Source organism: Homo sapiens, chromosome 9, assembly GCF_000001405.40.
Source record: "Homo sapiens chromosome 9, GRCh38.p14 Primary Assembly".
Classification (NCBI taxonomy): domain Eukaryota; kingdom Metazoa; phylum Chordata; class Mammalia; order Primates; family Hominidae; genus Homo; species Homo sapiens.
In genome coordinates, this window is record NC_000009.12 from 89,552,696 (window position 1) to 89,565,544 (window position 12,849).

The following is a 12,849-nucleotide window of genomic DNA, read 5'->3' on the forward strand; positions in this document are numbered from 1 at the left end:
GGAGCCTTCTACATCCCGCTCCTAATCTCAGAGGGACAGCCCGTCCCCTCTGCATTGCTTTATCAGTTACAAGTGAGCCTCAGGTCCTGCTGACATGGAAGGGAAGGGAATGACACAAGGTGTGGGCCACTGGGGGTCACTGCCATGAGTCCAGGGAACAGTCAGGACCCTGCCACCTCAGGACTTTGTGTCACTGCAACGGGATGTATGTAACCTGTGCAATCTTTTAGGAAATGTATTCTGGAAATGTATTCCCCCCGGGTGCTCTTCGATGTGCACTAAAGCCATGGCCTTAGTGCAGATGTTCTCAGCTGGGGTGATCTGGAAAGGGGGCAGGTAGAGTGGGCAGGGGGTGGGATCAGGCCAGGGTCTGTCCCCTGCTGGCTGTGTGAGTTCCTCCCGTAGGGCAAAGGTGACGGGCTGTCCCTCTGAGATGAGGGTGCAGGCTGTAGAAGGATCTCTCTGTCTTGCACCAGAAGGGGCCCCAGCCCTGTCTCTTCTCTCTCCTAGGTTAATATGCTAATATGCCCAGGTGAGCTGGGAACCTGGATGACTATAGTCAAGGCCTGCTCCCAGATGAGGAGCGGAAATGTCCTTGTCAGCAGGCATTAACCTGCACGCAGATGCACAGTGATGTGTAGAGCTGTTTTCCTCATTCCCTATTCTGAGGGCTTTTGAAACGCGTAATTACAGTATTTAATAGTAACTCTTAACTCTTTTTCATCTTGAGGACGCCTTCAAACATTAACAAACTAAAGTGGTTTTCTTTGTTCATCTCTACAGGTGTGACAGGGCTGCAGCTGCCCCCAGGCCCGCCCCACCACCATCTCCTTCCCTCCCAGGGAGCCCAGGCAGCCTCCATCTCCTTCTTTGCACTGCCCTGTGCTGTCTTGCAGCCACCCTTTCAGCCCTGTGTCCTTCCTGCAGCCCCTACCCTGCTGTCCACTTCTCCGGAAGCCCTCTTCACCCTAGCCTTGGGACCTGCTCACTCCTCCTCCAGCCCTGCACTCCTGCTTGGAGCCCTGGGATACCAGAGAGGCAGGGAGCCTTGTTTCCGCTCTGGGGGGTGGTGCGAGTCCAGGTTTCTTACCTTCTCTGCCACTGTGTGGCAGGTGCTGAGCGAGCATCTTGCCACAGAAGCACCTGAGAATGCTGACCACAGAAATGGGCTGTAATAAGTAGAGCTTAGCTCTAACACGAATTAGGCAGGTGTGTGCTGGCTGCTCCAGAAACTCACTGGCCCAGAGATTGTTTCAGTGAGAACTTGCATTCTAGGTTCCCACCCATCCCTAAAGACAGTCATGGGTCAGTTCCCCATTGAGCAGGCACATGGTGGACCCTCTGCATTGAGGGAATTCACGTGGCCTCTGACTCCCCTACTTGGCTTCCTTCCCCTAAGATCCTCTGTCCCTGCTTGTCCAAGAGGAATCATAGTTATACAATAATTAGTAATAACAAGGACACGTATTGAGCATTGATCTGATACCAGAAACTCTTCTATTTTACACTCAATTCTGATAACATCTCTATCAAGTAGACATTGCTATTATCTCCATGTTCTCAGATGGGGGACTGAGGCACAGGGAAGATAAGTAGTCTGGCCACATCACACAGCTCTGGAGCCAGGACTCACACCCAAAACATCTGAAAATAGAGCCAAGAGCGGGTTGTATTGCGAGCTTTGGTGGCCCCAGCCTCTGCTCCCTCTTCTGACTTCTCGCACAGGACATTTCTCACCGTTAATCTTGGTGAGTGAGACTGTGGGTGAAATGTCCTGTCACAACAGGACATCCTGCTTGGCCAGTTGGACTTTCTGGGAAGTGTGGATTTCCAGTAAGCCATCTGGGGACTTCAGGCCTTTCCTGGAGATTTACCTCCACAGCAGAAGGGATCCTTCATCAGCAATTGCTTCAGGGACCCCAGCAGCCCTAGCCCCTCCCTTCCCCAGGAGCTTCTCTTGGGGTTTCTGAGCCTGACCCCAACCCACTTCTTTCCATCACATCCTTTTCTTCTGGAAGTGGGCCAGAATCCATTTCTGTTGCATGCAACCAGATGCAAGCTGAGCTGTGTCTTCAGAAGAGTGGAAAGAAGGGGAGAGCAGGGAGAAAGAGCCTCTCCACCCAGAAGCTGCAGGGAGGCGAGGAGGGCAGAGCCCCGCTCAGCCTGAGTCGCTGGTGAGTGGGCGTCCACTCCGCCTCTGCCCAGGAGTCATCCTTGATTCCTCTCTCCAATCCCTCAGTATATCTTGTTCCCTAACTCTGAAATGTGTCCGGACCCCATCTGTCCCCACATTTCCCTGGGCCACCACCCTCTGTCTCCCCGGACACTGTAGGAGGCCCCACCTGGCCCTTGAGTCCACTCGTGCTCCCCACTCCCAAATCCAGTCTCTAAAACAGCTCAGGCATTCTTGAAAATGCTCAGGGATTTTTGAAAAACCCAAGTCAAGTCTTACCATTCTCCTGCTGAAACCCTCTGATAGCCTGCCAAGGTGCTGGAAATGGACTCCAAGGCCATCCGCATCTGCCGGTCTCTCCTTTGGCCTCCTCCCCAGTTCCCTGCCCTCCTACTTCCCGGGACAGGCCCTGCTAGCCTGAGGGACCTCACCGAGCACTTCCCTGCTCCTTCACGTGGAAACCCCAAGACACCCTGGGTACTGTTCCACCCATAGGAGCTGGTGTGTCCCGAGGATACTCACTCCCTAACTTTCTGCATTTCAGTGGCTACTCCCTGATATTTCTCTTGTTTGTGTTTATTGTGTGTCAGTTGCACAAGTGGGCACCTTATGTCTTTTTCACCTCTGTTCCCCAGACACTAAAGATGTTCCTGACATACCAAGGCCCTCCGTCAAGTCTCAGTGAAGAAACGAAATGAACCGTGCATGCCTGAAAAGTAAAGATACTCACACAGCTATGACAGGTGTTTGTGGTGTGCTCCACAACCTTTCAGGGCTGGAAATTACACATTTCTTCTCTTTTTGAGATCAAATAAGTTTGGCCCAGCAGCTCTTGGCTTTCCAGGACTACCACAGGCCCCTCTGGGGTTTTCGAAGAACACTGAGGCCTGGCAATTTGAAGAAGGGTCACTGGTCCCCACTCCTCCAGGCTGCTGTTGCTGGCGTGTCCTGCCCATGCAGGAGTAGCCCTGGGAAGTGGGTGCCCTTGGGCACGCTACTGATGTTCCCGCCAAGCCCTCCGGGTGTGCCTCTGTCCCCCTGGGGAGCTGAGTTTGGCTGAGAGCCCCTGATGCCACCTGCCTCTGCCCCTACCCCAGTTCTGGCAGCAGCTTCCCCCTTCCCTTGGGGCACCTGCTCCTCCTCCCTCCCTGACTTGGGTTTGAATCTTGATGAAACAGCTGGCTGACTAGGGACACGTGTGCCTTACCTCCCTTCACCTCAGCTTCCTCCTCTGTAAGATAAGGACCCTAATGCCATGTGGCAGGTTGTGAGAGGATTAAATAAGGAAATGCACTTCAAGTGTTTAGCTTAGAGTCTGGGGCCTAAGATGTGGTCAGTTAATGTTAGTTAAAATGAAACCAAGGAAACCCCAGCTGTGCAGGACAGACATGATTAGGAGGGAGCAGGCATGCCTGCTACGGGCAGGTCAGAGGTGGCTTGGGGTCAGCGAGTCGACTTCCTGGAGGAGGTGGTCCTGGAAGGACAGATGGGATTTGAATGAGGCACAAGGGTGGACAGCTCCAGGACCAGGGGTCAGCCTGGCATCCCTCACCTGGAAGGTCAGCTGGGAGGTAGTGGAGGTGGAGTGCTTTCCGGCGTGGAAGGTACTGGCTGGCCCGGTGGGGGTGTTCTGACTCTGCAGAGGGGGAGTGTCATCCCCAGCTCAGACGCTGTTGTGATGTCACCGGCAGCACCCAGCACTTCCCCACCTTTGCCCTCTAGGGTGGGTGAGCTGCAACACAGGTTGCAGTGGCCCAGGGGGAGGGGATCATAGACCATAGACTGCCCTGGACTTGGGCTGTTTCCAGTGTGGGGCTACCGGGAACAAAGCTGCTATGAAACTTTGTGTGCAAGTCTGTGTGTGTGTGTGTGTGTGTGTGTGTGAGAGAGAGAGAGAGAGAGGACTTCCATTTCTCTTGGGTAAGCACTAGGAGTGGACTTGCTCAATCAGACGTGACTAATGTTTACTTGTACCTTGTACAGGAAATTGCTGGGAAGTCTCTTGAGAGCAGTGACCATTTCCCATTCCCGATAACCGCATGTGGGGGTCCTACACCAACCCACCACAACCTCACCGATGCCGAGCGCTGTTGCGCATTCACACTCCGGTCACTCTCGTGGGTGTGCCGTGGCACCTTCATGTGGTTTGAATCTGCACGTTCCTGTAGGTGAACCGTGCTGAGCCTTTCTTCATGTGCTTATTGGCCAAGGGTGTTCATTCCTTTGTGAAGAATGTGTTCAAATCTTTTGCTCATTAAAAAAAATTCGTTGTTGGTCTTTTTGTTATTGAGTTGTATAACTTCTATATATATATATATATATATATATATACACACACACACATACATACATACACACATATATACATACATATATATATATATATATAAATTTGTTGTTGCTTTTTGAGATGGAGTCTCACTCTGTCACCCAGGCTGGAGAGCAATGGCATGATCTTGGCTCACTGCAACCTCCGCCTCCTGGGTTCAAGGTATTCTTCTGCCTCAGCCTCCCGAGTAGCTGGGATTACAGGCACCCACCACCACGCCTGGCTAATTTTTGTATTTTTTAGTAGAGACAGGGTTTCACCATGTTGGTCAGCCTGGTCACAAACTCCTGACCTCGTGATCCACCTGCCTCGTCCTCTCAAAGTGCTGGGATTACAGGAGTGAGCCACCACACCCAGCCTTTATATATTTTTGATGCCAATTCTTTGTCATAGTTGATCCTTATTCTTCGTGGATTCCATATTTCTGAATTCATTTACTTGATAAAATGTACTTATAACCCCTAAGTCAATACTGTGGACGATTTTGTGGCCATTTGTGGGCACACACAGAGCCCTGAGACATTGGAGTTGTCTGATGTGTGTGGCCCCAGCTGGGATGGACAGGGCAACTCCCCACCTTCTTGCTGCAGCTCCCACAGGGACGGTGAGTGTCCTTTTTACGGTCCATTTAGTGCCCCATTTTTTCACGTTTCTGTGCATTTTGTTGGGGATCTCATAGTTTGTAACAGCCCCGGCATGGTGCTGAAGCGCTGTCTGGGGCTCCAAAGTGCAAGAAGGCTGTGCTGTGCCTTATGGAGAAAACTGGTGTGTTAGAGAAGCTTCATTCAAGTGTGTTGGCTGCGAGTTCAATGTAAAGGAATCAACAGTGCTGATCAAATAAAGCATCTTTCAATAGAAACACACATCAAACAAGGTTATGCATTGATGGGTTGATGACAATGCTATCACCAGAGGCTCATAGGAACCTTCCCTTCCCTAAGAACCGTGGTTTGGTGTTCACTAAATTGGTGCTGAGGCATTTCACGGACTGTAACTACCACCAGTAATGAGAATCAACCCTGGACAGAGGCACTTCACAGACTGTAACTACCACCAGTAATGCGAATCAACCCTGGACGTTTTCTCCGGATAGGTGGCTTGCCTCCTCATTTTCTAAATGGTGTATTTTAATGAATAATAGTTTTATATTTTCATGAAAGTGACTTACCAATAGTTTCTCTTGTGGTTTTTGCTTTTTCCTGTGAAGCTGGCACATGTTCTCTTCTAGAAGATTTATAGCTTTAGTTTTTATTTTGGGTTTGTAATCCATTCCATATTTCTCTTTGTGTATGTATAGGCAGGGGACGAAGTTTATTTTTTTCCTATAGATATCTGTTCACATTGAAGCAAATCCAAGACAGTCTATCATATCCTCTGAACTCAGTACAGTATGTATCGCTGTGTTAGTTCAGGATGCTATAAAATACTATAGGCTGAGTGGCTGATAGACAACAGAAATGTATTTCTCACAGTTCTGGAGGCTGGGAAGTCCAAGATCAAGGCACCAGCAGGTATGGTGTCTGGTGAGGGCTGCGTCTGGTTTACCATGATGCCTTCTTGCTGTGTCCTCATGTGATGGAGAGTAGAGAGCTAGTGAATTCTCTGGGGCCTCTTTTATAAGGGCACTAATCCTGTTCATGAGGGCTCCACCTTCATGACCCAATCACCTCCCAGAGGCTCTGCTCCTAATACAATCACATTTCAGGTTAGGGTTTCAACATATGGTTTGGGGAGAGGAGGCACATTCAGTCTTTTGCACTAATGTATAAAAGTGTAAGATTCTATTGAATGCAATGCATATTAAAGGCCTGTGATCATAGCCTGCCTTCAGCAGAGGCTTGCTCTTGCCTCTGGTGTTAACAGCCAAACGTCCCTCACTACCCAGGCTTTTGGGGAAAGCTTTGGACTGGCTACATTCTCCAATTCACAGGCAGCTGCTCAGCAGGTTCTCTCCACCTAAGCTGTTATCTCTGGCCCCTCCCCTGTCCTTGCGGCAAATCCCACATGAAGTGTACAGCAGATAGTCAAAACATTATTTAATTCACAGCTTCTACTACTCTGAGTTTAGAATGGAGGAAACCCTTCTTTGTTAGGTGTTAATACTCTTATGATACTCATGTTGTTTGAATCAGCCTCTAAACTCATTCATTTATTCAACAAATATGTATTTACCTCCTACTATGTCCCAGGTACTGCACTGGTTTGGGTGTTGTCCAAGACAGATGAGACACCTGCTATCCTAGAGCTTCCATTCTTGTTAGGAAAAGACACTCTAAGCAATGAATGATACCCTTCACTACTTAAACTACAACAACGCTCTCATCATTAAAGTGCTTTAAACCATAAGTATAGGAGCCATTAGATTGCTCTACAAGGGGATTTGACCTCATCTGGGAAGGCAGGGAAATCTCTGACCAGCGAATTCTGAATTCTACCAGAGGAGGGGAATCAGCTAGATGAGGTAGGTGTGTGGGGGCAGAGGGCAGAGGTGGGGCTCCTGGTGCAGGGAGCAGCATGTGTAAAGACCCTGAGGTGGAAGGGACTCTGGGATGCCAGGACTGGAGCAATGGGAGGGTGGCGTGTGAGGGAACATTGTGCAAGGTGAGGCTGGGGGTGCTGCTAGGCCTCGAGGGCCAGTTCAAGGTCTTGCTTTATGTTTCAATTCGGCGTCGTCCAGCAGAACTTGCTGCACAGAGAGAAAACCTCTGTATCTGTAGTGACCAGTGTGGTAGCCGCATGTAACTACTGAGCCCTGGAAATGTGGTTAGTGTGACCAAGAAACTGAATTTTAGATTTTAATTAAATAAAATTTCAATAGCACATGCAACTTGTGGCTGCCAAGTTGGGCTTCATAGCTGTAGCACAACGGCAGGTCACCAAGAATGTAGACCAGGAAGATGACACCATCGGATCTGCATTTGTTACTGTTATTTGTCACTCACTGTGGCTCCATGCGGACAGTGTAAGGACCTGTGGAGATGTTGCCACAGTGGTGCTGGGGGTAAATAATGGCTGCATGATCTCGGAAAGATTCAAGAGATCTTCGGGAGTCAGAATAGTGGTGGCCTCTGATAGTGGGCAGGGAAGGGAGCTGGCAGGACTCCTTCTCAGGCTGCTGATATGAGAAGGACAAAGTTGGTGGGGTTCCCCGTCCCTTCCAGAGTGGGTGCCCAGTACTCGGGAGGAACAGGCTGTCTAGATGTGCAGCTGCAGGGCTCCAAGGAAAGACCTGGGCTGCCGGAATTTCTAAGAAAGTTAGGAGGAATTTCACCTGTGATGCATCAGTATGGAAATGCAACATGAACAGGAAAGAAAAATGCCTGGGCAGGGCGAGGTAGCTCACATCTGTAATTCCAGCACTTTGGGAGGCTGAGGCAGGAGGATCTCTTGAGTTCAGGAGTGCAAGACCAGCCTGGGCAACATGGCGAAAACTCATCTCTACAAAAAATACAAAAATTAGCTGGTCACGGTGGTGTGCACTTGTGGTCCTAGCTGCTCAGGAGGCTGAGGTGGGAGGATCACTTGAGTCCCAGAGGCAAAGGTCGCAGTGAGCTGAGATTGCACCACTGCACTCCAGCCTGGGCGACAGAGCAAGACCCTGTCTCAAAAAAATAAAATAAAATAAAAAAGAAAAATACTCAGTAAAACCCAAACTTCCTATTTTTTTTTTGGATTCCTGTTCAAAGTTGGCAATGTGCTCAGATAGTTGCAATCAGATGTACGGGTCCTATTAGATGCTCTTAAAAAAGACAAAACCAAAACTCTTGACTTGCTCCTGCACACATTTCCAGGAATAGTCCATGTAAATGTTACGTTAGCGTGATGTTTCTGAAACTCACCCATGTTGTGTGTGCCGGTGATCCATTTATTTTCACTGCCGGGTGGTCTTTTGTTTATGGATGTGCCACAATTTGTTTATCCATTTACAGGTAGCTGGACATTTGGGTCATTTTCATGTTTTTGATGGTAGTAATTAAATGCTTTTAAAAGTGGGCAGTATAATTTTAGAAAAATAAAGATGTTTATTATTTTATGAAAAATGTATATTATGCTTGTTGTAGTATACATGGAAAATAGAGAAAAGCATAAAAAGCAAAAAACTTTATAGCCCCATAACAGTTTTAACCTACTATGATATTTTCTGGAGTTCTTCCCAAACTGTTCAGTTCATGTGTATGTAAGTATGAATGTATATAAAATTGTCAAGGCCAGGCGCGGTGGCTCACGCCTGTAATCCCAGCACTTTGGGAGGGTGAGGCGGGTGGATCACGAGGTCAAGAGATGGAGACCATCATGGCCAACATGGTGAAACCTCGTCTCTACTAAAAATACAAAAATTAGCTGCGCATGGTGGCGGGCACCTGTAGTCCCAGCTACTCAGGAGACTGAGGCAGGAGAATCGCTTGAACCTGGGAGGTGGAGGTTGCAGTGAGCCGAGATCGCGCCACTGCACTCCAGTCTGGGCGACAGAGTGAGACTCCATCTCAAAAAAAGAAAAAAAAATTGTCAAAATGTAGATCATATTGCAAATGCAATTTTGATTTCTACCTTTTATTAAAAACACAAAAAACGTGGGCACTTCCCATGGCACAAAACCAGACGTTTTGTGCAGATCAGACGGTGTCAAATGCAGATCTGATAGTGTCATCTTCCTGCTCTACATGCTTGGTGCCTTGCCATTGCCCTAGAGCTACATGGTCCAATTTGACAGCCACAGATTGTATGTGCTATTGAAATTTTATTCAATTAAAATTTAGAATTCAGTTCTTCAGTGACACTCGCCACATTTCCAGGGCTCAGTAATTGCATGGGGCTACCACCCTCGTAGCCAGTATTTTCCCAGATCTTAGGTGTGTGTGGACGTGTTTTTAGCAGTCACTTCCCTCATCACTGCTTCTCAGTGGTGTTGCTTTTGGTTGCCCGAGGGACTCCTCAGCGCCTGCAACCCTCATGGTCCCCAAAGTTTTGTCCTGGGACATCTGGTTTTGTGCTACGGGAAGTGCCCGAGTTATTATAGAATCCAACTCCATCATTCAACTAGCATTTATAGAGGCTGCTTGCTCTTATCAGGGATGGGGCTTGACGCAGGGAGCTCAGGGCCCATCTCCAACAGCCCAGCCTGGAACACCCGGGTCCAGAGTTGTGCCTTCCTCCCCTCCCAGGCTCCCGGGGCTGCCCACCACGCCGTGGTCATAGGATGATGGCTCCATCAACCCTCCTTGGAAGGGCTTCCTTACACTTGGCTCCCTGGCGCCCTCCCTTCCTGATGAAATTTGGGCTCTCCAAGGCCTATAAGTTGGCCAGCCTCAGATGCTGACGTGCTATAATAGCTCTTGTTCCTTCCAGCACTGTGCAACCCTGGGGAGTTAATGAACAATTTGCAAAGGGCCCCAGGAGCTGGAGAAAGGCTTTAAAAAAGACTGGGTATGACTTGGGTGTCATAGTTACAGAATTCTTTAAGGCCACAGTTATCAGTTTAAGAAATTGTCTTTTCCACTTCACTACATTCTGTTTGGTTCCCTAGAGAGGAGGTCAAGCTAAAGATTAACCACGTTGTGGTCTGTCTACAATATTTAGATTCCAGATTAACTTACTCCTATTTTTCTTGGCCTCTTCTGTGACAATTTCTTTCCTCTGTAGTTACTTGCTTAGGGGTTGTTACAATAATCAAAAATTTTAAAAAGCATTAAAATATTAGTTATGAGGCTAAACAGAACAATTAGGGAATCTGTCACCTCGCCAGTGAAACCTACCATTAATAAATGACTGTTTTACATTATTCCTAGGCCAGCTTGCCTTTCTTTTAATATACGTAATTAGGTTTTTATTTCTCCCAAAGTGAATAGTTTAATTATTAGAAGTATTATATATGTGTGGTCTAACTTGTCTTTTTCTGACATTGTCAGTCCTGATTCAATGTTTGTTGGTCACATTGCATCTCAATGACAGGAAGAGATGTTAGGGACAAGCATTGAAGATGACAAGATGTAGCAGTCAGAGTATTAGTATGATGGGAATGTTATTATCCCAAGGGCAAGACCACCACCCACACCCCAGACCCTCAGCACACCTATGCACGTGCACGCGCACACACACACTCCACACAAGCTTGAATGGGCCATTCTTATGACATTGTCCCACGGCCTGAGAGCTGGGAAGAGAATGGCTTTTCCACCATGAACAAAATGACTTCACATCAGTCCACTGCCCATGCCCCTGGGGCTGAAGAACCTGCACGAGGTCAGGGACCTGGGTTCGCTGCTTTGTGTTGTCAATTGAGAAAAATGACGAGAGAAGTCTTAATCATTTTAGGTGGTTTATTTGCCAAAGTTAAGGACATGCCAGGGAGACAGGTCGATTCCTTGCTCCGAAGACGATTTTGAGGGCTCCAAATTTAAAGGGGAAAGGGCGGGATATTGAGAAGCACACAGTTTTCATGTAAGAGGCGGGTAGGGAAAAATAGTCATTCATGACTTTGTCTGGCTCACTGAATCTGCATTTTTTACATAAGATGACATTGACAAATGGGTCGGGGAAAAATGCAGGGAATCTGCATTTTACATAAGATAACTTAGACAAAATGGGGCAGCAAAACAATCCCATATGCATTTGTGTCTGGTGGGCGGGGGGTGACTGCGTCTGTAATGATAAGCTTTGAATTTACGTTGTCATGGTGAAATGTTAACAGAAACACCTTAAAAGATCTTGCAGCTCACTAAGAATTTCCTTGTGGGCAAAATACAGGGGAGGCATGTAGCTTTTCACCTTGTAGCCATCTTATTTAGGAGCCAAAAGGGGGAGGGAGGTTTGCGTGATCCAGGCCCCAGCTTGACTTCTCCCTTTGGCTTAATGAGTTTGGGGTCTCAAGATTTAATTTCCTTTCACAATATTCAGCACTGGAAACGTGCAGGGGACATGGAGGGGCTCAATAAATACGATTAGATTGAAAATTGCCAATATCTGATCTTTTGTTGTCCCCCGCACAGTGGTTCATGTGGTTTACCCTCATTTTTGTTGAATGGGGAATAAGGGAATGATCTCTCTGATCTTGGTCAGCACAGGCTCTGCATGTGCGTCTCTTTTGGCATTTTTGCATCTCTAATGTGGAGAACCGCTCCAGGACTGCAGAGGACACACGGGGAAACGACCAGAATGGAGGAGAGGCCACTGGCAAAGTAGCCTCGGTCTGTCTCAGGTGGCTAGGGCTGTGCTGGGTCCCCACAGGACTCTTGTCCTAAGCATGCACCAGTATGCGGCTCCACACTGCACTGACTGGGTGATCGATCACGGGGAACCGTGGCCTCTGAGAAGTAGGGTGTCTTGGAGGCCAAGGGAAGAGAAAGTGGTAAATACTGACAGCCAGCCATTCAGAAGACGGCAAAGGAGAGTGCTTCTTACCTGCCATTTTTGATGCTGTGGCCAGAGGGAGCTCTAGATGACGGCGGGGGCAAGCCTCCAGCTAGCCTCTGGTGACTGACAGCTGGCTCTGTTGGTCTGAGGCCCTGGTTACTTCCCGCTGATCTACGATGGTGATGTCACGAAGCTCTTGGTGGTAATTTTCTGCTCCATGATGTCAGCCAATCGCAGCCGGTCTGGAGCCTGCAGAGCCAGCTTTGTTTGGAGGCTGGGACAGAGCCACGCACAGGAGGATGAAGCATAGGAGAAGGGGATAAAAATGTTGATTAAAAACAAAAAGCAAAACAGACCCTTTTTTGGTTGAGGCCAGAGACTGGCATATTGGTGCCCCCTTCCACCACCAGCCCCTGTTTAGGGTGCAGTCCCCGGAAGCTGGAGAATGGGTGCGCCAGGGTCCTGGGTGGGACTTCTTTCTCCCCGCGCCCTCTCCCTCACCCTGAGCGCAGGTGCTTCCCCCTCCTCTCACAGGAGCTCCTGACTCACCTTTGGAGGCCCCAGACTTCCCATGGCAGGAAAGAGTTTTTTCTTTAAGGCCAGCGCGGTGGCTCAGGCCTGTAATCCCAGCACTTTGGGAGGCCAAGGTGGGTGGATCACCTGAGGTCAGGAGTTCTAGACCAGCCTGGCCAACGCAGTGAAACCCCATCTCTACTAAAAATACAAAAATTAGCCAGGGGTGGCAGCAGGTGCCTGTAATCCCAGCTACTTGGGAGGCTGAGGCAGGAGGATCACTTGAACCTGGGAAGCAGAGGTTGCAATGAGCTGAGATCGCACCACTGCACTCCAGTCTGGGCAACAAGAGCGAAACTCCGTCTCAAAAAAAAACAAAAAACAACTCTCAAGACTTGTTTTCTTTCATATTCCCTATAAGAACTGTGAAAAATTATGTACTGCATTATATATTATAAAGTTAATAACTACAAATGTCCTCATA

At 48.4% G+C, this 12,849-nt stretch overlaps 1 long non-coding RNA gene across 1 annotated transcript, besides 4 other annotated features; it reads left to right on the top strand.

Moving 5' to 3' along the window:
* Window positions 363-964: an enhancer, noted in NCBI's record as "NANOG-H3K27ac-H3K4me1 hESC enhancer chr9:92167973-92168574 (GRCh37/hg19 assembly coordinates)". NCBI's record gives its function as "activates a minimal SCP1, AML or CMV promoter by ChIP-STARR-seq in naive H9 embryonic stem cells {active_cell/tissue: H9 hESC(naive)}" and the evidence as "EXISTENCE:reporter gene assay evidence [ECO:0000049][PMID:30033119]".
* On the top strand, window positions 671-4,448 carry LOC124902207 (uncharacterized). Its single transcript, XR_007061655.1, has 2 exons — window positions 671-2,174; window positions 2,809-4,448. It is a non-coding gene; the product is annotated as an uncharacterized LOC124902207 (long non-coding RNA).
* Window positions 1,018-1,107: an enhancer, noted in NCBI's record as "active region_28554". NCBI's record gives its function as "activates an Ori minimal core promoter by ATAC-STARR-seq in GM12878 lymphoblastoid cells {active_cell/tissue: GM12878}" and the evidence as "EXISTENCE:reporter gene assay evidence [ECO:0000049][PMID:35858748]".
* Window positions 6,885-7,054: an enhancer, noted in NCBI's record as "experimental_108686 CRE fragment used in MPRA reporter constructs". NCBI's record gives its function as "activates a minimal promoter by MPRAs in K562 erythroleukemia cells, with activity observed for both the introgressed and non-introgressed 9:92174580 variant alleles {active_cell/tissue: K562}" and the evidence as "EXISTENCE:reporter gene assay evidence [ECO:0000049][PMID:34662402]".
* Window positions 11,797-12,296: an enhancer, noted in NCBI's record as "H3K4me1 hESC enhancer chr9:92179407-92179906 (GRCh37/hg19 assembly coordinates)". NCBI's record gives its function as "activates a minimal SCP1, AML or CMV promoter by ChIP-STARR-seq in naive H9 embryonic stem cells {active_cell/tissue: H9 hESC(naive)}" and the evidence as "EXISTENCE:reporter gene assay evidence [ECO:0000049][PMID:30033119]".